The sequence below is a fragment of the Homo sapiens genome, chromosome 5 (genome assembly GCF_000001405.40).
Source record: "Homo sapiens chromosome 5, GRCh38.p14 Primary Assembly".
Classification (NCBI taxonomy): domain Eukaryota; kingdom Metazoa; phylum Chordata; class Mammalia; order Primates; family Hominidae; genus Homo; species Homo sapiens.
The window spans coordinates 65,029,949-65,052,385 of NC_000005.10; the positions used below are offsets into that span (position 1 = coordinate 65,029,949).

The window sequence follows — 22,437 nt, forward strand, 5'->3', positions numbered from 1 at the left end:
TCTTCTGCATTTGCTAGCCAGCCCAAATGCTCCTTAGACTCGTACTGAAATTCTGTTAAACGGCTCTCACGAAAACCACTCATGCTGTTCTTCCTGCCAAATCCAAGTCTACCTTCTTGGAATTATTTGCCTTCTCTTAATCCTGATTCTCTTCCTCCCTTTCCTACCAGCAATTCTTGTCCTGCACCTGTTTTCTGTGGACTCCATTCTTAGACTTCAGTTCTGAGGAATCTGGTCAGTCCTCCCTGAGATAAAATGGTCCTCATAGCTAACAGGTTTAGCATAGTGGAAGCTTCAGATGCTGTCTTTTCCACATGCCTTAACTTGTACCACTTAACTGTTTCCCACAGTGAAGATTCCAGTCAAATACTTGCCTTCCTGTAAAAACTTAGGGCACAGCCCTCCAGACTTAGTGACATAATCTGTGACTTGAGCCATATGTTGTTCCATGTCATCTGCAGAGGCCCATGGCTTGTTCCTAAAAAAGACCTAGAAGTCAGACTCCATAGGAACTAAAGAGTCCTCACTGCAATTGAGAGACAGGGCTAGCTGGATTTTCTAGGCCAACTAAGAATCCCTAAGCCTAGCTGGGAAGGTGACCACATCCACCTTTAAACACGGGGCTTGCAACTTAGCTCACACCCGACCAATCAGGTAGTAAGGAGAGCTCACTAAAAAGCTAATTAGGCAAAAACAGGAGGTAAAGAAATAGCCAATCATCTGTTGCCTGAGAGCACAGCAGGAGGGACAATGATCAGGATATAAACCCAGGCATTCGAGCCAGCAACGGCTACCCTCTTTGGGTCCCTCCCTTTGTATGGGAGCTCTGCTTTCACTCTATTAAATCTTGCAACTGCACTCTCTTCCAGTCCGTGTTTGTTAGGGCTGGAGCTGAGCTTTCGCTCGCCATCCACCACTGCCGTTTCCGGCCACTGCAGACCCGCCACTGACTTCCATCCGTCCAGATCCAGCAGGGAGTCCGCTGTGCTCCTGATCCAGTGAGGTACCCATTGCCGCTCCTGATCAGGCTAAAGGCTTGCCCTTATTCCTGCACAGCTAAGTGCCTGGGTTCGCCCTAATGGAGCTGAACACTAGTCACTTGGTTCCACAGTTCTCTTCCGTGACCCATGGCTTCTAATAGAGCTGTAATACTCACCGCATGGCCCGAGATTCCATTCCTTGGAATCCGTGAGCCCAAGAACCCCAGGTCAGAGAACACAAGGCTTGCCACCATCTTGGAAGCGGCCTGCGGCCAGTTTGGAAGCGGCCCGTGGCCATTTTGCAAGCAGCCCGCCACCATCTTGGGAGCTCTGGGAGCAAGGACCCCCTGGTCACACAATCGCTGAACTACAGCCCTCTGCTTCTGGCTCCCAACTTTCTGAAGCACTGTGGGGAAGATGGTTCTTCACCAATCCTGCAATCCAACGGCCACCCAGTAAAATGAGGAACAGACATTCTTCCCAGCCCTGTGGGCTAGACGAGTAGCTAGTGTCTCTTCTATAGGTTGGTAATGGTTCCAGGTTGTAGAATGAGGTCTTCATGACTTACGGGGCTGTGGCATCATTGGGTTCCTGGATGACATTCTAATATGGTCCATGACCTGCCTTAAGCTCCTGGGTAAACCCTCTCTTCATGCATAATGTGGGTAATGTATTTAGCGTCTTTCTCCAAAGAAAATCTCTATGCTAACAAGGGTTAGTAGTGTGCTGGAATGGTACACTCACCTCTCTTGCGCATGGTAGCTCACCCCCTACTCCCTTTAACTATCCAAAACACTCGATGTCTCCTGAGCCTTGTTTAATAACAGGGCCTTTTTTCCCTCCAGACAATCCCATCAAGAACCACCTAAAAAAAAGACAGCTATTTAAAAATCTGTGACACTCAAAAAAGTCTTCCAACATATGAATGCCAGCTCTTTTTGTCTTTAATCCTCTATTTTTCTTACTGTTGGTAAGTAAAACTTATGGGGAGGGGAGGGGGGTTTGTTTTTATTTTGTTTTTTTATAAGTGCACTTTTTCTTCAACCACCTTATATGCAGGAAGTGAAGTAAATATTGACCTAAAAACATTAAAGCACCTTCAAAAACCAAGTAGTTTTTCCCCTAGAATTACTGTACAACTAGAAAATGGCCTTGGTTGTCATTGGCCTTGGTTGTCATTGACCTTGGTTTAATGCCTGGTTAAACCCTAAGGAAACTGCTTCCAAGACAGGATTTAGATGCTCCAGAAGTTGTTAGAATGTGGTGCACAAAAAATATTTCATATCCTGGTTTACTTGCCTGAAGAACCTCCATGAAGTAGACTCTATACAGGAAACAATTCCATCTTCCAGAGTGAATATTCACTCATTTGCTTTTCCAGCCAGGAGACTGGAAGAAGCCAGCAGGCAATGTAGTCATTTGGTAATGTTCTTCCTACTGCCAAGATGGATTAATGCTGGGAGACCTTACAACGGGTGAGTAATCGGTAGTGCGTGCAGGCCCTCGGAGATCCCTGAGGTGTGATTATTTTCATGCGTACATTTCTGTCGTCATCCTCCAAAGGGTGCTTTGTCATTTCCTTCACTCTTTCCTCACTGGACTCTCAAGTCTGTATTACAAGGATGACATGATTTCCAAGTCATTGCCAATCTCCTCAAACTGAGTTGGTGAGCACTTTAAGGACATTGCTAAAATGTGAGGGTTGTACTAACAAGATTACTCTGGTTTCCCTTTAAATGATTCTGGAAAAGTATGAACAGTTGTTTATTAAAATATGATTTAGAACCTAATCAACCCCTAGGTCCACTGCCTTGTTTGCTATGTTCCTACCTAATCCTCAGGTTGACATTAAGATGGCATGGACCTATTAAGATCTCAGACTATGAGCAACTACATTGAAACAACAATGTAAATATGTAAGATGTGAGTTTTAAAATTAATTGCACTTTGCATTTTTTAGCATTACTATCATTTACTCCCTGAGCTGCTCTCACCGCCACCACTCCAACTCTTCAACTTGTGTTCAACTCCCTTCTGGAAGTAAACAGGCCTGTGAAATGGGAAATCAGACATCAAAAGAGCTCACACTCTAACCTTTTGTTCAAGTTCTGTCCCTGCCACCAACTAGCTGGGAGTCCTTAGAGGATATACCTAAACTTTCTGAGTTTAAAGTATAAAATGATTAGCACAATGATCAATAAATGCTAACCACGACAGCATTAGTTTAGTAATGTCTATTATTAATATTATTTCCTCCTTCAGCCAAAGCTTGAGTAGTATAGAATCCTTGTCTAATATTGGGTTCCAGACTCCTATAAGCTTTACCTTACATCTCGTCTTTGCTGGCTGAGCAGGTAACCAAATGGATATATGCTCAGCAGAGCTGTGCAGCCATCTTGGATCCTCCTGTTACTCTCGCCACTGGTGGTTCTTGGACCAGAGCCCAAAACCCTCTCTCTGTGTTTTAGGTACCTGCTAAGCTTTTTCCTACTGGTTACTCAGGAGGTTAGATGCTTCTGTCCTCTTCCCAGATCCCTTCTGCTCTGAGTCCCCGGTATTAAGGCTATCTCCAATAGCAGGGCTAGAATTTTAGAAGACTGGGCCAAACGTATCTCTGAAACCTGGGAAGCTCTTAGCTTGATCCCTCAGAGGGCTCCCCAGGGATCAGTCTTCTACAGTTCTAAAAGCAACCCCAACCCCACGTATGCTGCGTCACCTAAGCTGGGTGCTGCTGCTGATTTGAGGTGGTCCAAGCCATAAGCCAGAGGCCCTGCTCTGGCTGATGTTAGAATCACTCAAAAACTTCGAAAAACACAGATGTCTGTCCCACTCCCAACTCTGGGACTCGATATTTTTTAAAGTTTCCTGGGTAATTCTGATGATGAATGCCAGTTTGAGAAGCTCTGATTTGAGCAGCTACCAAATATCCCTATCTATTCCTCCCATGTCTTGGAACTGGACTATCTTTCTGAGCTACATAAACCTGCTGCTGTTTCTCCTAAATCCTGTTAGTTGTTGACTCTGGTTACCATGAGCTCCAAACAGGTGATAGGGAATCAAGCTGCTGATTGTGGCTTAGGAGCCTCTTCTCCCCACACTCAGACCCTTGATCCCAAAAAACATTAAAGATATCATATTTCATCCAAAGAAATATAATCAAGCGAGAACAGGGGTTGTAGAATCAGTAGCAGCTAGTGTGGAACAATGGATGTGAGTTCAAAAGATTTAAAGGCCTGAGACTCCAACAGTGATCCAAAGCAGATAAAAGGCCCTTCTCCCTGCCAAGGCAATCTAACGTGCTGTAGCACTTACTGTACTGGTGAACTTCATGAAGCAACCCTAGTGAGACGTTTGTTTTCTAAGGGAAAAGAAAACAGAAAGATTGTGACAAGCCTTGATGTGATTAAAACAAATGAGCAGAGCAATATGTTTGTAGGTATTGTTGAGAGGTGCCGGTGCTGCCCACCTGGCCCAAACTCCAGCTCTATCTCCGTCCATCTCTGTGTTCCAGGTACTTTCTTACACCCTGCCCACTGGACCATGGGCCTCTGTGGTTCACTGGTTAACACTTGCCTAATCAACTAGACAAACACAGGACGGGACAGCTGGGCGCTGAGCTGCCAGGGCACATGTGGGAGCTGCTTCAAGACTGACCACGAGGCCAAATTAATCTAAGAACCTGTTGCAAGAGCAAATGCTGTGAAGGCAAGATGGAGGTGTCCCTGGGGGCCCAGTGGCTTCTCAGTGAATGGGCTTCCATTCTTCTTTTCTGCTTGACCAGCCTAAAAACAAGAGGCTGGCCTCACAGAGGATTCTTCTTAGAAGATATTGCAGAGCCACTTATAAGACCAACGTATTTCACAGCCCAATATCCTTACTGACATCTCAGACCACCCCTCTCCCCACCTTCTTTTAATCACTTTCTTTTCTCCTCCAGGGCACAAACAGCTTTTATGCAAATTATCTCTCAGGACAGGTGTGAGGGCTTTCCGCAAAGAAAGACTGATCGCATCCAAGGTCCTTTATCCCTTAGAGGGCTCCCCAGGGACAAGCAACCTGTTCTGCCCCAGGGCTGCCGGACGCCCAGTTTTCCTGCTGTCTCTCATCACAGGGGCGGTGGGGCGCGCCCGCCTCCAGCCTGGCTCTGGACCCGGGGCCCCGCCACCTCCCAGCAGCGGGCGCAGAGAGCCTTCTGGTTACCCCCGAAGCTGAGGATTGCAGTGTTCTAGCAATGGATGAAATCCTTTTTAACCGACTGTAATAAAAATAAGATTGTGAATAACATGTGACTATAGACCTCCAAAAAACTGGCGGCTGTGAAACCCATACTTTAAGAAGCATGGCCTCTCTCTCGAAGTGGCTTCCAGTGACGGTCCTGGATCTACTTCACCCTTTTTGGCTCGGGTACTGGAACAGGTCTCGGCCAAACTACTGTCTCACCGCCATAGTGATAATCATCTTTAAAAGCACAGCTAGTCGGTGCGCGACCACTGCGCGGTACAATAAGAACCTGTCGGGGAGGGACCACGGCAGGCGACTGGGAGCTTGTGGACTGCCAGGGTCTGGAGCGGGCCCGGCCATCCCGCCGCTGCGCATGCGCCACCCAGGCCGCTGGCCGGAGAAACCTAGTGGCGGCGGGAGGCGGGAGGCTGGGAGTACGCGGGGGAAGCTGGAAGCGGGAAGCGGGGAGACGCGAGGTGGGGGCGGGGCGCACCGGCGTCCCGGCTGGGCGTGACGGGCGAGACCCCAGCCCGGTCGCGGCGTCTGAGGTTGCAATCTCGTCTGGGGCACTCTCGCGCCTCGCCCCTACCCGACTTCTTTTCAGGGATTAGTTCTGACTTCATGATTAATCAGCACTTTCTGGTTTCCTTAGGGTGACGTCATCTCTGCTCAGAGATAAAACAGGCTCCTTTTTGAGGGTTGCGGGCAGCCTGGGGGCCCGGGTCCGGGAGGCTGTCCCGGGGACTGCGCCCCGCCCACAGGCGACAGCCAGATCGCGCTGCCGGCCCCTCGAACGCTGGGTTCCCTGGCCACAGCGCGTCTTGTTTATTGCTTTTGCGGACTGGTTAAATGCAAAAGCTCAAGGTTTTCTTTCTTTTTTCCGTAATTATAAAAGTAGGACATGCTCTTTTAAAGGGTGGAAAATTACGAAGAAAAAAGTAATCACCCAAAGCCCCACCCTCTAGACTCAACCTCTGTTAACGTTGATGCATTTCCTTCCTGTCTCCCCCCACAACCCCCTTTCTTTGCAGCAGATCTTCAGGTTTTTAACGTCATTTAGTCATGTTATATCATTTTGTAGCCTACCTTTTTCACTTATATTGTGGCAGAAACTTTTTTGTGCTTTTTTCAAACATTGCTTTAAAGATCATAAAGATCTACTCCTTTAGTAGAGGTATCATCAAGTACTTAAACACTATTTCCGTTTATGAGCATCTAAGATGTTCTCAGTTTTTACTAGTGTATGAGGTAGACCATCCCTTCACCCTTACTTACATTTGCCAGGGTTTGATGGTTGGTGGAGCATACAAGCCCAAACTAAAAATTTGATCAAATATATGTCAAATTGTGAGCAAAACTTGAAAGCTTCTGCTCTTTTCTATATTGCTAATGATAGAGAACCTGGGCAGAAGCTGATTATTTGCAGGATGAGCTTTTGTGCCTGTGAAGGAAGGCCCTGACCTGAATGGGACGTGGAGAGTTTTGCAGTGGAGATGGAGGCTGGTGGCAGAAGGCAGAATGAGAAAGAGGGGCCAAAGAAAAGAAAGTCAGCTGGCGCCTAAAGGAAAAACTCCCCATGAAGATAAATGGCTGATGATTTTTGGAACACTGATGTTGAACATGCTAATTCTGTTAGTCCAAGCTCCAGTCTCCTTGTTTCTTTTACTAAAAAACTAGAGAAGTACAGGAGAAAGAACTGGGCCTAAATGAAGAGAGAGTCACACTATTTAGTGCATTTTCTGCCTTCTAATCTGTCCCCCTTCTCTAAAGTCCTTTTCCCACTTCATGAAAGGGTAATATAAGGTTTCCGTAAGATTCTAGATATCCAGGATAAGCAGAGGACATGAACCATCCAGATCTTCTCCCTCTCTCTTTTTTAAGATGGGGTCTTGCTCTGTCACCCAGGCTGGAATGCAGTGGCGATCTGGGCTCACTGTAGCCTTGACCTCCTATGCTCAAGAAATCCTCCCGCCTCAGCCCCCAAGTACCTTGGACTACAGGCACACACCACCACGCCCGGCTAATTTTTTTATGCTTCTTGTAGAGATGGGGTTTCACCATGTTGCCCAGGCTGGTCTTGAACTCCTGCTGACCCCAGGCAAGCTGCCCGCCTCAACCTCCAAAAGTGCCGGGATTACAGGCATGAGCCACCATGCTGGGCCCATCTAGAACTTCTCTGTGAGGTCTGGCATGAGCCTACTTCTATTTATCCCCTGCAAATCACTTTAACTGAAAGCTGTTCACTTCTAAAATGAGGTTACAGGAAAAAAAAAGTAAGTATGTTTTGGTAACTGAACGTGATGGTGGGAGAAAGGCTGGTGGTTTGAGAATAAACTCAGCCTCCCAGGGCCTTTTGCCTAGAAGGTCTTACACACTCTTGCATTGGTTAGCCTGGTTAGTAAAGGGCATGCAACTCTACTGCTTCTAAGAACACTGTAGGTCCTTCCTGTGCTCAGAGTTGTGTGACGATCTGTAACTCAAGGGAGAAGCTGGAACAGCCAGCTTTTGACATCTCCCTTGTTGCTTGGTCTGGAGCAACTTTCCCTTTATGAGAAAAAGTGTGACACAAACTCTGTCTCCAACCAAGCCAGTTTTCTCCATGCTGAGTATCTGTAAGAAAAGCCAGATTGATCAAGAGGCATTCTCTGCTTGGTTTAAATTCGCATGACAAAGTAGGCAATTTTGTGTAATTGGCACGTGCTTTGCAAAGTAGCCGTCCATTCTTGAGCCACCTGAGAACTGGCAGTGAAGCAGTGATTTAACTTCAAAAGGGTGAGAATGGCTGTGGTGGCTTTCTTTTCCCTCTTAAGGCGGAAGAGGTTCCTGTCTCCCTGTCTCCTTCCCAGAACAGCTCCCTCTACTGACGGTATGGCTGTCATCCTCCCTCTAACCCACTTCCTCACCTCTGTGGTCTCCACCTAGAATGCAGGTGACTGTGTCTCCATAGGGTGAGATTTGCTCAAAGAGTAGAGAAAACCCGGCATCCTGAAAGCAACACTCCAGACCTGGCTGCCAGCCACAAACCCACTAGCTCCTAGATCTCCAAATCTACTCCTTTGTTTAGTACCCAAGGATTCTCACTGTTTCCATTACTGGAGGAAGGTTCCCTTCTAGCCATCCAGTTCACATAGGATTGGGAAGAAGCTAGCTCCATTCTCATCATAACCGGTGAGATCAGTTCCTCCAGGCTTGGGCTCCCAGCATCCCTTCTCCAAGTCACAACATTCTCTAGACACTTGCTGACCCTGCTATGTTCTGCCTGTTAAAAGGTCATCTGCTTTTTGAATTCTTTCCACTCTCCTCCCAGTTATTTGTGATAGTCTCTTAGAAGGTTAAAAATAACATTTATTTCCCCAGTGGTTTTGTATATTTCCATTTGGCAAACTTTATTTTGTTCCATGTGTTTCTAAGGGAACAGAAATGAAAATGGTTTATGTCCTACTTCCTACACTGGGCTCAATGATGTTGTCAGAAATGGAATTGTCTTTCGGTCCAAAGTGGGTACACCCAACCGTAAGCTAGGCTTTAATGCAGAAACTATATAAACTACAAAGACAATGGACATTGTTTGGCTATTGGAAAATCTACTGCGTTATACTTCCTTTAATCAAGCCATGAATTTTTTAATAGATTCAAGCCACTTTGCACAGACATGATAACAGTATAAAACTGGGTCACATTATAAGCATGAACCATGACACTGTGTCCCATTACTGAAATAAAACTAAAGGCAACATAAGAAGTCAAGATGGAGGGTGGTTGTTACTGGAAGGAGCACATGGAGGGGCTTCTGTGATGCAGGAAATGTTCTATTTGAAATCCAGGTGATAATTACATGAGTATGTTCAGATTGTGAAAAATCACTGAGCTTTACATTTATAGTCACATTTTTCTGTATTTATGTTCCACTTACACAAAACACTTAAACAGAGATTATGTTGAGGTAGACAGTTAAAGCAATGGGAGTGATTGTTCTTTCATTCAACAAACATTGTTTTAGTTCCCACTTGGTGCTCAATGGTAAGCAAAGACTTTGTACATATTACAGAATGAGTAAACTAAGGGCCACACAGCCTGATTTCAAGGATTTTACAGTTAATAGTCAGCTACAACGTAAGTTACAAGCGTTCAGTGTGTATACCAATATTAGATTCTTAGTTGGGACAAATAGACCATAGTAATATAAGATGTGAACATTGGGGGAAACTTGTTGAGGAGTACGTGGGAAATCTCTGTGCAATCTTTGCAAGTTTTCTGTAAATGTTGCCCTCTTCTAAATTTGAAATTGTTTAAAAATACTCAATTTCATAAGAATGACTATGAGGGAGACATTATTTTTGGACCAAGGAAATCAGAAGTGTCTTTGTAGAAGAAAAGAATGATTGAACTGGACCTTAAAGGAAGAATGAGATTATAATAAAGGGAAATGGAAAAGAAGTTTTTTAGATAGGGGAAACATGATACAAGAAACTGTGGAATGTGTGAAAGGACAGGACAGGGACTGATGAATTGGGAGCATGAAAAGGGTTGTGTACAATAGGACCCAAAGGGCAGAGGGCCTTGAAAGCAAATCGCGAAAGGCTTAAATTTTGTAAGTTAGCTAACAGACAAAAATTAAGCTCTGAATTGCTATAGAAATCCCTTGTTTTACAATGAAAAGTAAATATATTAATTACAAAATAGAGGCCGGGTGCGGTGGCTCACGCCTGTAATCCCAGCACTTTGGGAGGCTGAGGCAGGTGGATCACCTGAGGTCAGGAGTTCGAGACCAGCCTGGCCAACATGGTGAAACCCCGTCTCTACTAAAAATACAAAAAAATTAGTCAGGTGTGGTGGAGCATGCCTGTAATCCCAGCTACTAGGGAGACTTAGGCAGGAGAATCGCTTGAATCTGGGAGGCAGAGGTTGCAGTGAGTCGAGATCACACCACTGCACTCCAGCCTGGGCAACAAGAGAAAACTTCTATCTCAAAAAAAAAAGATAAAAATTAATATACTTAAATCATCTCCCCAAATCTCTGTATGTCTACCATAGAGCTAAAGGAATTAAGTCATAATATTTATAGAACACTTACTATATGACCACTACTTTATGTCTATCATCTTATTTAATTATCCTAAGATTCTTGTGAAGCAGTTCTTGTTTTATTTTACAGATAGAAGACTGAGAACTTGTTTATTTCCAATAAGTACAAAAGAGTCATAAATATAAAAAAACAGATATAGCCACCTGAAAACTTGTTTCCAACAAACACAAAGTCATAAACGTCAAAAATAATAAAGGACTTAGTGCTAGGATGTGCTTCAGTGGTTGAAATGGAACTCTGAGTTGGAAATATGTTTACATTTACACTTTGTTTAAATTCATTTTTTAACTGAAAAGATAGTCATCTGGGACTAATATGCATTATTCAAGATATAATGGTATTGATAAGCCCATTAATCAAGTGTGTTTTAGGGAATAATTCTGACAAGTGTGTTTGGCAAGGGTAATTATCACAGAGTACCAAAAACTGATAAAGTCTGGCCTACACAGACTAGACACAGTACAGGAGAACTCTCTCCCAGTTCAGTTAGAAACTCGTGTTTTGTGGAGTCAGAGACAACACAGCTAACTCCGTGGACAATAGAATGGACATCCCAGCTCCAAGCTGTGAATGTTTCCAAATAGTTCAAAGAGAATGAAAAGAGTTTAATCTTCCCATCTTGGGGTTTCCTAGAAGCATTGTGACTTGCCTTCAAAGCCAAGTTACTATGTGTTTGGGAATCAAATGGCTCAATAGTCGCTAATGTCATTTTTCTCCCTACTAAATACTTGGATAAGACACAGTAAGAAGAAAATAGGTTTTGTTTTGGCTGTTAATAATTCTCTAATCATGCAGAAATGAAAAGTTCATCAAAGATCCATAGTTTCTATTGAGAATTTCCTCCTATTGTTTTTTCTAAGAGTTCTCTTCCCCACAATAAACCACAAAACAATTTTTCCTCTCTTTATATTTGTTGAAAGAATTCAATTCTTGAGTGGAAATTTTGTTTTCCTTTAATTCCCAACAAACTGTATCCCATACCTGACAGCCTCAAGGTAGGAAGGCAGCGGAGTTATTCAAAGAAGCATTTTGTTCTTGGTCTTGCCATTCAATATCACAGGGTGTGATGAAAACTGGAACAAATATGGTCATCACAGAGGTGCCAGAACATTACATTTAAAAAATGGAATTATTTGAGTCAATCTGGAATGTCTGGTTCTTTTGGTTTGGGCCTCATGGGTAGCATTGTGCTTCAAAAACAACTTGAATTGGCTACCAGGATTCCAGAAGGGTAACATAATCCTGTACCTTTGAGGAGAGATGCTTATCTTTATGTCTACTCTTAGCAGAAAGAGGCTGGATTCTTCCACCTTTTCATGTTTCAAAATAAAAATTGTTCAAAAAGTTCCAAACCTGAATGGAATTTGGAAACAAGAGTGGGAGGAGGTACTTCCTCAAGTCTTTTGGTTTGTGCTGTTTTCTATTTGAAATAAATGCTCCACCATGAGTCAATATCCTCTAGAGCTACAGAAATGTGGGGTTTGGGGAAGGTTCATCCTCACCACTTCCCCTTATGTGATTTGGAATTTAGAGAAAAGGTCCCAGAAAAGATTAGTAATTCTGAATACAGTGCTCATATCTGCCCAGGAGACAGAGACACTTAAAGGGGCAGGAGCTGGCAATAACTCAACTCCTGGCAAATGCAGCCTGCAGCCCAGTGACCTCCACCCCTTGGAGTGATGCTGCTACCCCTGCAAAGGGCTCCACAGAGGGCTGTGAACACAGGGCAGGTCTCACTTTTCTCTTGTCAACAACACACAAAGTTGTAGGGGTGTGTCTGACCTTGATAAAGGGCTGGAGAGAACCAAAGGGAATTATAGCATATGAAGAAAGGAATTTTAAACTGTGTCATCCAACAAGGGGGAAAAAAATCCCCACCGAGTTTAGGGAACACACCCGAACTCCTAACCTGTTGACTTGCTGTCCCATAGTGGGAATGAATCCCTAGATACCTTCAGGACTCAAGGGCCTCATCCCTTGGGGGTTTGTCTACCTCCAGCATTTTTCTTCTTCCTAACGTAGTACACATCTCCATCCTGGTATATCCAGCCTAGAAGATTCTAATGGTTTCCACAGGACAATCCATGGTGCTACCCAAGAGTCTTGAATCCAGTTCCCTTGAAGGCCTCACCTTCAGGGTGGTGTGGATTGCAGACTGAATTCTCCCACTTGGAAGGCGTATGTGTATACACACACACACACACCCATTCATCACACAAGGACATTCTCCTGCCATACCATTCTCACATACCAGAAATGTAACATCGACACAGTAATATTGTCTGATATAATATTTCTCAATCTTCAATGTGCGGATAAATCACTTGGATGGGACTGAAATTCTTCAGTTCCAACAAGCTCCCAGGTGACACTGCCACCACTGCTGGGCCACAACGCACACTCCAGGTAGCACTGATGTAATATACAATCCATATTCAACTTTCTTCAATTGTCTCAAAATATCTCCTACAATTCTTTTCTTTCCTCCCCATTCAGGATCCAGGCAGGAATGGTGTGTTGTATTTGGCTGTCACGTCTCTTTAGGCAGAGGACGTGAACTTTTTATTGGCTGCTCTCTTACTTATACAAAGACCCAGGAAGAGTGTGCAGATTTCCCCTTGTGAGAACCCCTCCTCCCAGTTACACTTAGAAAAGGACCACCCTCCTCACAGTCTCAGTAAATGAAGGACAGAGAGAGAGTGGAAGGAAGCACCTGGAGATGACACTGTGAAGTGCTGAGAGGCTCTATGATGGCTAGGCTCTATGATATGTTTTTTTTTTTGCAAATCACACACATTGACCACTAGGGATATGAGGCCTACCGCAGAATAACAGCACAACATTCAAAAATAGCTTCAAAGATGTTTTGCTATTCTTATTCCCAGACTTAAAGAGTTGATTCCATCTCTCCAGAGAAATTAGAGTCCAACGCTATCAACAAGCATGATGCACTCCTGTGAGGTGGACAAATGTCATTTCCTATTTTCTAGGGTTTAGAGTCTAGATAGACATAATCCCTTCTAGAAGAACCCTCCAAAGGACTCCAAGCAGGATGGGCCATGGGGACCTGTAACTGTCCAAATCCCACTGCTCTCTACAGTGTGGGCGGCAGTCCCCTCTTGCTTAGTGTGCCCATAACCACTGAGCCCTGCTACCTCTTCATAGTGGCCTCTGTTAAAAGCAAATGTTGCCTGGAAAGAAGTATGCTAGATTAGTCCTCCTAGTCAGCTAGCTGATGGAGACTCTCACCTGAAGAATTGGGAATCAGGATAGGTTATTTTTCAAGTTGACGGGGAGGTGTGTGTTATGTGGCATAAGGACTTCTCCAAATAGGAGTGGAGGGGCAGAGGGAACTCAGATAGCAGGAAGCATAGCAGAACACGGGGCATCTGCAACAAGAATAAACCTCTCAAGAAAAGAGATGGCACTGAATGGGAACTGAGAAGTTCCCTGTTCACCAGCCTCACACTTTGTCCTTAGGTCAACACGTTGCACTCCCATGCAGCAGAGGGACTTTTTCATAGAATAAAAAAAGAATCCAAGATTAGGTGCTAGATCCAGCACCCCACTTTCACCACAATACGATATTCTACTCTCCCTACAACATTTTAAAAGAGTATTTTAGTCTCTTGAGCATTTCCTTTGTGGGGTCCAAAATGTGCCTGCACTCTTACAGAACTTGTAACTCTAACAGCTATCAGTTATTGACTGCTTTCAACACAAGCACCATTCTAAGGGCTTTACACACATTCAGTCATTTAATCTCCACAATAGTCCTAAGAGGGCAGTGCTGTTACAATTCCCATTTCACAGATGAGGACACTAAGGCACTGAGAGATTTAGTAGCTAGCCCAAGATTACTTATCTCTAATCTGGGCCCAAGAAGTGGAGTTCCAAGGTCACTTCTCTAAACTACCTTCTAAGGAGACACAAAACGAAAACAACTGCTGCCTCACAGAAGTTTCAATACTAAAATAGGTAGCACATATCTATTAAGTACTCATTCAACTTATCATTTTTATTTTATTTCATTTTTGAGACAGAGTCTCGCCCTGTTGCCCAGGCTGGAGTGCAGTGGCACAATCTCGGCTCACTGCAACCTTCACCTCCCGGGTTCAAGCGATTCTCGTGCCTCAGCCTCCTGAATAGCTGGGATTACAGGTGTGTGCCACAATGCTCAGCAACCATTCAACTTATAATTTTTAAATTTATAATTCATTGCAATGTACTTGTCTTTAAAATGTCTTGCCTTGGTTTTCTGCTTTTTCTATTTTCTAAGTTTTGCTTGTGATGGGCTCAGTACAGGCCTCCTGGGGAAAAACTTGTGCCAGAGAGGAAAGATAAAGGTTTCTTCCATAACTCACCCATGACAGGAAGCTTCCCCACAGCTGCAGGTGGGATTTGAGAAGGGATTTATGGGGGAAGGAAAAGGGAGGGAGACGGAATTGGGAGGTTTGCTGGGACAGAGAGACAAACACCAAAACGTTAGGTAGATAATGGTATTTGTGAACACACTGAGGTAGCACCCTTGCAGCTCTCTTTTCCACATCCTTCTTATTACCCCCACCCCATCCCCACTGCCATCCCCCACCCCAGCACCCACCACCATCACTGAATCTTGCCTCCTACTTCAGGGAGAACATAGAGGCCATCAAGTAAGCACTTCCTGCCTCTTGGACCATTATGTGCATCTCTTTCCACCTTTGCCTCCTTCCTCTTACCTTGAAAGGGTTGTCCCTCCTTCAGGGTGAGTCCTCCAGCCTGTGCTCTAAACCCTCCCTCTTCCATCCACCATCACCCTTTACTCCTGCACTTCCATCTGCTCCTTCCTCTCACATATGTTTATGCTGAAATACCTCTTCCTGAAAAATAAAATTTACCTCAACTGTGGCTCCTTATAGCAGTTTTCTCTTCTTCCTTCTCAAATAGTGGCCTGAGTTTATTCTTTCCTTTCCTCACCTCTGTTCCTTCCCCATAGAACACACCCTGGCCTCTACCTTTGCCACCATTGAAATTACCTCTGTTAAGATCACCAAGAACTTCTTAACAGCTAACTCCAGAAGTCCTTTTTATCTGGGCTACCTGCAACGTATGACTTTGCTCACCACCTCCTCCTTACAACCTCTCCTCTCTTGGTTTCTGGGCCGTGGTACTTTCCTGCTTCTCCTATCTCAATCTATCTTCTGAGGAAATTGTCTCCATTTCTTGATGTTTCCTAAGGTTCTATCTCCAACTCTCTTCTCATTGCAATCTACACATTTTCTCTGGGCAATCTCAACTGTGCTCCCTATTTCAGATACTGCCTTCACCATTTGTCTCCACCCATTGCACTGCCTCTTGTTAAAGCTCTGTTCTCACCAACCCCACTCTTATACTTTCTACTCACTTTTTTTTTTGAGATGGAGTCTCGCTCCGTTGCCCAGGCTGGAGTGCAGTGGCATGATCTCAGCTCACTGCAACCTCCACTTCCCGGGTTCAAGCCACTGTCTTGGTTCAGCCTCCCGAGTAGCTGGGATTACAGGTGCCCACGACCACACCTGGCTAATTTTTGTATTTTGAGTAGAGATGGGGTTTCACCATGTTGGCCAGGCTGGTCTTGAACTCCTGACCTCGTGATCCACCCGCCTTGGCCTCCCAAAGTGCTGGGATTACAGGAGCGAGCCACCACACCCGGCTCTACTCATTCTTGAAACCACTCTAATTAGTCTGTCATCCCTACCACGCCATCTAAACTGCACTTGTCAAGGTCCCAGCAGCAACCTCCACGTTCCAGTGGTCAGTTCTTAGAATCTTTCTTTACTCAATCTCTTAGCAAGATAAGAAATGATTGGTTACTCCTGGCTGGGCGCGGTGGCTCATGCCTGTACTCCTAGCACTTTGGCAGGCCGAGGCAGGTGGATCACGAGGTCAGGAGTTCAAGATCAGCCTGGCCAAGATGGTAAAACCCCATCTCTACTAAAAATACAAAAAATTAACCTGGTGCAGTGGCAGGCACCTGTAATCCAGCTACTTGGGAGGCTGAGGCAGGAGAATCGCTTGAACTCGGAGGGTAGAGGTTGCAGTGAGCTGAGATCGCACCACTGCACTCCAGCCTGGGTGACAGAGTGAGATTCCGCCTCAAAAAAAAAAAAGAAATGATTGGTTACTCCTTCTGTTTTGAAACTACTTTTTTTTTTTGACTCGTGAAACACCACAGTCTCCACAGAAAGAGCTAGTTTTTATCAATGAGTAAAAGAATACCAGGAGACTTGGTATTCTTTTATTCATTAATAGAAATTAGTTCCCTCTCATCTATTCAAATGCTACCCATGGGCATGACCAAAAGTCTCAGTCCTAAGTCTTCTTCTCTATCCACATTTACTGTCTGGAGACTTCATCCAGTCCTGTGGACAGGTGTTCCCATCCTGTCCTCCAGTGACCTCACCTGGTTCTGTGTCTGAATACTGTTTCTGAATTAATGATTTCCAAATTGATAACTCTAGTCCTAGCTTTTCAATTTTGGTGTCTCATAGTCATTTTCAATTAATATTCAAGCCAAAATATTTGATTTCCACTACCAAGCCCCAGTCCTGCCCTCACCCACCTCATTAAATCACACCACTGGTCACCTAGTTCTTAGGCCAAAACTTGGGAGTCATCCTAGATTTCTCTCTTTCTAACACTCACAGTAATTCCATTGGCAATCCTGTTGGTTGCACCTTCTAAAGATATTTGGCATTCAATGATTTCTCACCACACCACTGTTTTCATCACCTTCTGAGTCTAAGCCACCATCATCTTCTGCCCAGATTAAGGTACTAGCTTCCTGACTGATCTACCTTCTTCCACTCTTGCGACCCCCAAAGACACCACAAGGCAGCTGTGAGAGTTAAAAGAATAAGTCACCTCATTTCTGTTCCTGCTCAGAGCCCCCTTATGGCTTCTTACGACACTTAGAATGAAATGAAAATTTCTCATGCTAATCAACTATATAGACTCTGTGTCATCCGGTCCCTGCCCACTTCTCCAAGATTATCTTCTACCACTATCCTCTTACTCCACTCTGGCCACATTAGCCTTCTTGCTCTTCCTTAAACACCCTCAGCTTATTTTTCTCTTTGCATTTGCTGTTCCCTTTGCTTAGAATGTTTTCCCATGTCCTCAAAACTTGGCAGGGCTCACTCCCTAATTCTGTTTAAATGTCACCTCCTCAGAGAGGGATTCCCATGGACACTCTTTCTAAAACAGCTGTTTTAACCATCACCCTTTATCTCTTTATTCGGCTCCGCTTGTTTGTTTGGTAGCACTTATCACTCTCCAGATCATTCTTTTAAATTGTTTACTTATTTCTGATTTATCCCATTAGATCGTAAGTTTTATGTAAGCAGGGATCTTGTCTTACTGTTGTTTCCTCAGTGTCTGGACCATTATAAGTACTCAATTAATGTTAATTAATAGGTAAATATATTCTGACAAGTCCAAAATCTGATTTTAGCCCTCCTTGCAGATATCAAGGTTCGTATTTTTCACCACCTTTGACTCATATGTTCCCAAAGAAATTCAAACTCAGTATTTCGAAAACTGAGTTTTCCCACGCTCTCCCCTAAGCTGCTCCCATTCTCTCTCCTAAGCTGCTCTTTCCCACTCATTCCCAAGCTTACTTAGCAGCGCTATCATGCACCTAGGTACCTGAGAAAGATATGGATGTTCTAAATTTCACCCTCTTCCTTACTCCCAGTTTATCTCCAAATGCCATCATTTCTACTTGTATCAGATCATGTTCTAAGTTGCAGAAAACAAAAGTCATTCTAGCTAACTTAAGAAAAAAAAAGAAATGTATTAATTTATTAGGTAGCATGTAGAATCTTCAGGAAAGTCCAAGGGCCTGACTTGGATACTTTCCAGAGAGGAACAATGCCGAAGTCACCCTGCCAGGCTATCCAGCAGAAATCCTGCTGCTGCCACAGACTGCATGCCAACTCTGGGGTGAAAAGTGACTGCTAAGACTATTGTGCCTCAAAACTCACACTCACAAGGATGGTAGTGTCTCACTACCATCCTTGTTCAGAATGAATTCCATGCAATATCTTCTTCACATCCTTCTCTTCCAAATCAAAGTCCTGATGGTGTCTGATGGGCAGAGCTCAGGTCACACACTTGCACCCTCCTGCCAGGGGTGAGAAAATGAGTTTCTCACTTCTTCCTTGAGGAGGACGGACTGTAATTGGGAAATTCCCTAATGATAGAAAGGGTGTTCAAGAAATACCCAGCAGTTACAAAGCATCACAGATGTCAACTGACACTATCTTCTATTTACCAAGTCCACCCATGCCCCCACCACTGACTCAGTTCTAGTCTTTATAGTTTGTCATCTTGACTAATGTGGTGACCACCTCCTATCTGGTTCCTCTGCCTCTTTTCTCCCCTCCACACCAATGCTAGAGCAGTATGTCCAAAAGCAAATCTTACCATGTCACTCCCTTCCTTACCACACATTATTGTAAAACAAAAGTCCCTTAAAAGCTCTTCATTGCCAATAGATGAAGTCAAACTTACTCAAATTGGCATATAAAGCTTCTTACAATGTGACCCTGGCCCATCTTTCCAGGATCCTCTCCTCTCTCACGATCCTGTGCTTCTGCTGCACCAAATTATTTGCCCTCTGCAAGTGTTGCCCACACTCTCTGGCTTCTGTTCCCTTGTTCATACTCCTTCCTGCTCCTTGGAATGGCCCTTTCCTCAACAAACTCTTACTCAGCCTTCAAAACTCATCTCAAGCATCACCTCTTCTCTGCATCTACCCTAATCCTTCACTCAAGATGTGAAACCTCCAACTAGGTTGACACTTCTCTCTGTATGTATTCTATTTTTAAAATAATGGTTAGCTTCCACATCTGTCTTCAGTACAGGAAGGAACTAGACTGTAAGCTCTGTGGAGGCAAAAACCATTGCCTTGTTTTTTTGATGGTTTGTTTGTTTTTTATTTTGTTTTGAGATGGAGTCTCACTCTGTCACCCAGCCTGGAGTGCAGTGGCATGATCTCAGCTCACTGCAACCTCCACCTCCCGGGTTCAAGAGATTCTCCTGCCTCAGCCTCCTGAGTAGCTGGGATTACAGGCGTGTGCCACCATGTCCAGCTAATATTTTATATTCTTAGTAGAGATGGGTTTTGCCATGTTGGCCAGGCTGGTCTCCAACTCCTGACCTCAAGTGATCTGCACACCTCGGCCTCCCAAACTCCTGGGATTACAGGTGTGAGCCATTGAACCTGGCCCATTGCCTTGTTTTTGTATCCTGAGCACGGCATCTGGCTCAAAGGCAGACACAATCACCTTGTATTGGATGAATAGTGATGCTGCTGCTCCTGGCAGCAGCAGCTCCATTTATGGAATACTTATTATGTGTTATGAACTGTATTAAGCTATATATGTATATATATGACTATATATTCCAACACATTATGTTACTTAATGCATATAATGATTCCGCAAGATAGGAATGATTATCCTCATCTTATAAATGGAGAAAATGAGCCCTAATGAAAATATATAACATTCCTGGTATCACATGACTAGAAACCAACTGAGCTAAAATTTGAACTTGGATTTATTTGACTTCAAAGCCAATGTATTCTTAACCACTTAACCAATACATTCTACAGTCCCCTGTGAATAAATGAATATGTGAAAGAAAAATCAATAATTGTAAAGTGTCATATTATACTCTATAGTGAGAATTATGAATTCTCTAGCCTGCACAGCCAGAGTGCTTCCTTTACTTTTTGTTATTTTACTTATTTCATTCTGTTTGACATACAGCTGTTTCTTTCCAGGCCTTAGGAAACAGTAAGCTCCTTGGGGGCAGGAAGTCGTATTTTTTCTGTGTCTTTGCCCATTTGTATCAGTTTCTGAGGGTTGCCAAAATAAAGTGCCACAAACTGGGTGTCTTAAGCAACAGAAATTTATGGTCTCTCAGTTCAGGAAGTCTCAGATCAAGGTGTGAGCAGGGCCACACTCCCTCTGAAGGTATGATGGGAGGATCTGTCTCAGGTTTCTGTCTTAGTCCACTCAGGCTGCTATAACAAAATGCTATAGGCTGAGTGGTTTATGAACAGCAGAAATGTGTTTCTCACAGTTTTGGAGGCAGGGAAATCTAAGACCAAGGTGCTCACAAATTTGGTGGCCAGTGAGGGCTCACTTTCTGTTTCACAGATGCTCATTTTCTTCCTGTGTCCTTACATGGCAAAAGGGGTGAGGGAGCTCTCTGAGATCCCTTTTATAAGGGCTCAGATCCCATTTGTGATGGCTTTGCCCTCATGATCTAATACCTCCCAAAGGCCCCACCTCCTAATACCATCACATTGGGAGTTAGGATTTCAGCATATGAATTTTGTGGTGATACAAACATTCCATCTGTAGCAGGCTGTCTCTTACCTTCTGCAAGTTCTTTGACTTGTGGCACCATACCTCTAATCTTCCTGTGGCATTCTCCCCATGTGCTTGTCTCTGTGTCCAAACTTTCCATTTTTATAGGTACACCATTTATATTAGGGCTCACCCTAACGACCTCGTCTTACTGTGGTCATCTGCAAAGATCTTTCCAAATACGGTCACATTCACAGGTACTGGGGATTAGGACCTCAACAACTTTTGGGGGGACACAATTCAACCCATAACGTCATGTGTCTAGCAAAATGTCCTGCACTTATCAGGTGCTCAGTTAAGGTTTGTTAAGAGACCTTGAGAGCCACCAGTGAGGCATGGCTTTCAGCCAGTGTGTTTGAGACCCGTGGGCAGGGGTGAGGTGAATGAGCTATGCCTAGTGGCCGCATCACTTCCTGCTAAGTTTCTGCAGGGCTGATGGATGGGGAGGGGACACAGTGAAGCAGTTCATCTTCTTTTAAAAAACAGTATTTTCTCCCATGAAGAATATAATGTCCTCGGGCTCATTAGTACCTAAGAAGAAAGGGATTTGGGCTGGCTGCCTTTATGGCAGCGGTGTCAGGCCAAGAGGTTGTAAACATGCCATCCTCTGGAATGCATCTGCTTGCTTCACTTGGCAGATTCCTCAAGAGTTGGATGAACTCCAGCCAATGTCTGAGTCTCTGTATCCCATGTGGGGCCCCATGAGAATATGTCTTGGTGTCTCCAGCCCACCCCTCTGTGCCCTCCTGTCCCAACTCTAGTACTGGTCTGAGGTAAACATTATTTTATTCTATTTTTTAAATTTAGACACTTCATATTGAGCACTTCTTAGATGCTTGGCACTTTATATGTCTTGTGTCATTCAGTCTTGGCCACAATATTACAAAGCTGACTTTTCATTTAATTGGGGGAATATATCATATATAAAAATGAATAAATGTTATCTGGAGAGTATTAAAAAAAATAATGAAATGTGCAGCAATTACCCAGGATAAGAAACAGAACATTACCAGTACCTTAAAGACCTCTGTGTACCTCTCTCAAATTATAGTGCCCTCTCCTCCCTGCAAGAGAAACAGCATCTGAATTTTGTATTAATCATACCCCTGCTTTTCTTTACAGTTTACTAAGTATGCCTGTATCTCTTAGAATTTAATACTTAGTTTGGCTAGTTTTTGTTCTTAATATAAATGAAAGCATACTGCCTGAGTTTTAGTAGTTTATTTCTGTTGATCATCATTCATCCATGTTTTTGAGAGTCATCCATGTTGATACATGTTGTAGTCATTTGTACCTTTTTTCTGCTGTGTAATATTCCATTATATAAATATACCAAATTTACCTATTCTACTTTTCATGGACATTTGAAGAGTTACCAATCATAGCTGTTATGCATAATACTGCTAGAGCATTCTTATACATGATTTTTAACACACATATGCGATTTCTTTAAGCTACATACTTGGAGGGATAAGGGATGGATTTCAGATAGGCATGTATTAATTTTACTAGGTAATGCCAAAGTGTTTTTGAAAATGCTTACACCAGATTATATTCCCGCTAACAATGAGTTAGAGATCTCATTACTCCACATCCTTGCTAACATTTGGATTTCTCATAATTAAATTTTTGCCTATTCAGTAGGCATGAAATTATAATTTTACTATGTATTTCCCTGATTACTAGAAAAGATGAGCACTAATGAAGTTGAACCCTCTTTCATTAAATGCCTACTTTTGATCATTTT

General features: G+C 43.8%; 7 annotated features.

Moving 5' to 3' along the window:
• Window positions 1,685–2,884: an enhancer, noted in NCBI's record as "BRD4-independent group 4 enhancer chr5:64327460-64328659 (GRCh37/hg19 assembly coordinates)". NCBI's record gives its function as "activates an origin of replication core promoter dependent on BRD2, P300/CBP, MED14 and CDK7 cofactors, and independent of BRD4, by STARR-seq in HCT116 cells {active_cell/tissue: HCT116}" and the evidence as "EXISTENCE:reporter gene assay evidence [ECO:0000049][PMID:35650434]".
• Window positions 5,566–6,082: an enhancer, noted in NCBI's record as "H3K27ac-H3K4me1 hESC enhancer chr5:64331341-64331857 (GRCh37/hg19 assembly coordinates)". NCBI's record gives its function as "activates a minimal SCP1, AML or CMV promoter by ChIP-STARR-seq in naive and primed H9 embryonic stem cells {active_cell/tissue: H9 hESC(naive and primed)}" and the evidence as "EXISTENCE:reporter gene assay evidence [ECO:0000049][PMID:30033119]".
• Window positions 5,643–5,692: a silencer, noted in NCBI's record as "silent region_16054". NCBI's record gives its function as "represses an Ori minimal core promoter by ATAC-STARR-seq in GM12878 lymphoblastoid cells {active_cell/tissue: GM12878}" and the evidence as "EXISTENCE:reporter gene assay evidence [ECO:0000049][PMID:35858748]".
• Window positions 7,914–8,208: an enhancer, noted in NCBI's record as "tiled region #13369; HepG2 Activating non-DNase unmatched - State 12:CtcfO, and K562 Activating DNase matched - State 12:CtcfO". NCBI's record gives its function as "activates a minimal TATA promoter and a strong SV40 promoter by Sharpr-MPRA in HepG2 and K562 cells {active_cell/tissue: HepG2 | K562}" and the evidence as "EXISTENCE:reporter gene assay evidence [ECO:0000049][PMID:27701403]".
• Window positions 13,615–13,754: an enhancer, noted in NCBI's record as "active region_22601". NCBI's record gives its function as "activates an Ori minimal core promoter by ATAC-STARR-seq in GM12878 lymphoblastoid cells {active_cell/tissue: GM12878}" and the evidence as "EXISTENCE:reporter gene assay evidence [ECO:0000049][PMID:35858748]".
• Window positions 14,235–14,344: an enhancer, noted in NCBI's record as "active region_22602". NCBI's record gives its function as "activates an Ori minimal core promoter by ATAC-STARR-seq in GM12878 lymphoblastoid cells {active_cell/tissue: GM12878}" and the evidence as "EXISTENCE:reporter gene assay evidence [ECO:0000049][PMID:35858748]".
• Window positions 20,468–20,607: an enhancer, noted in NCBI's record as "active region_22603". NCBI's record gives its function as "activates an Ori minimal core promoter by ATAC-STARR-seq in GM12878 lymphoblastoid cells {active_cell/tissue: GM12878}" and the evidence as "EXISTENCE:reporter gene assay evidence [ECO:0000049][PMID:35858748]".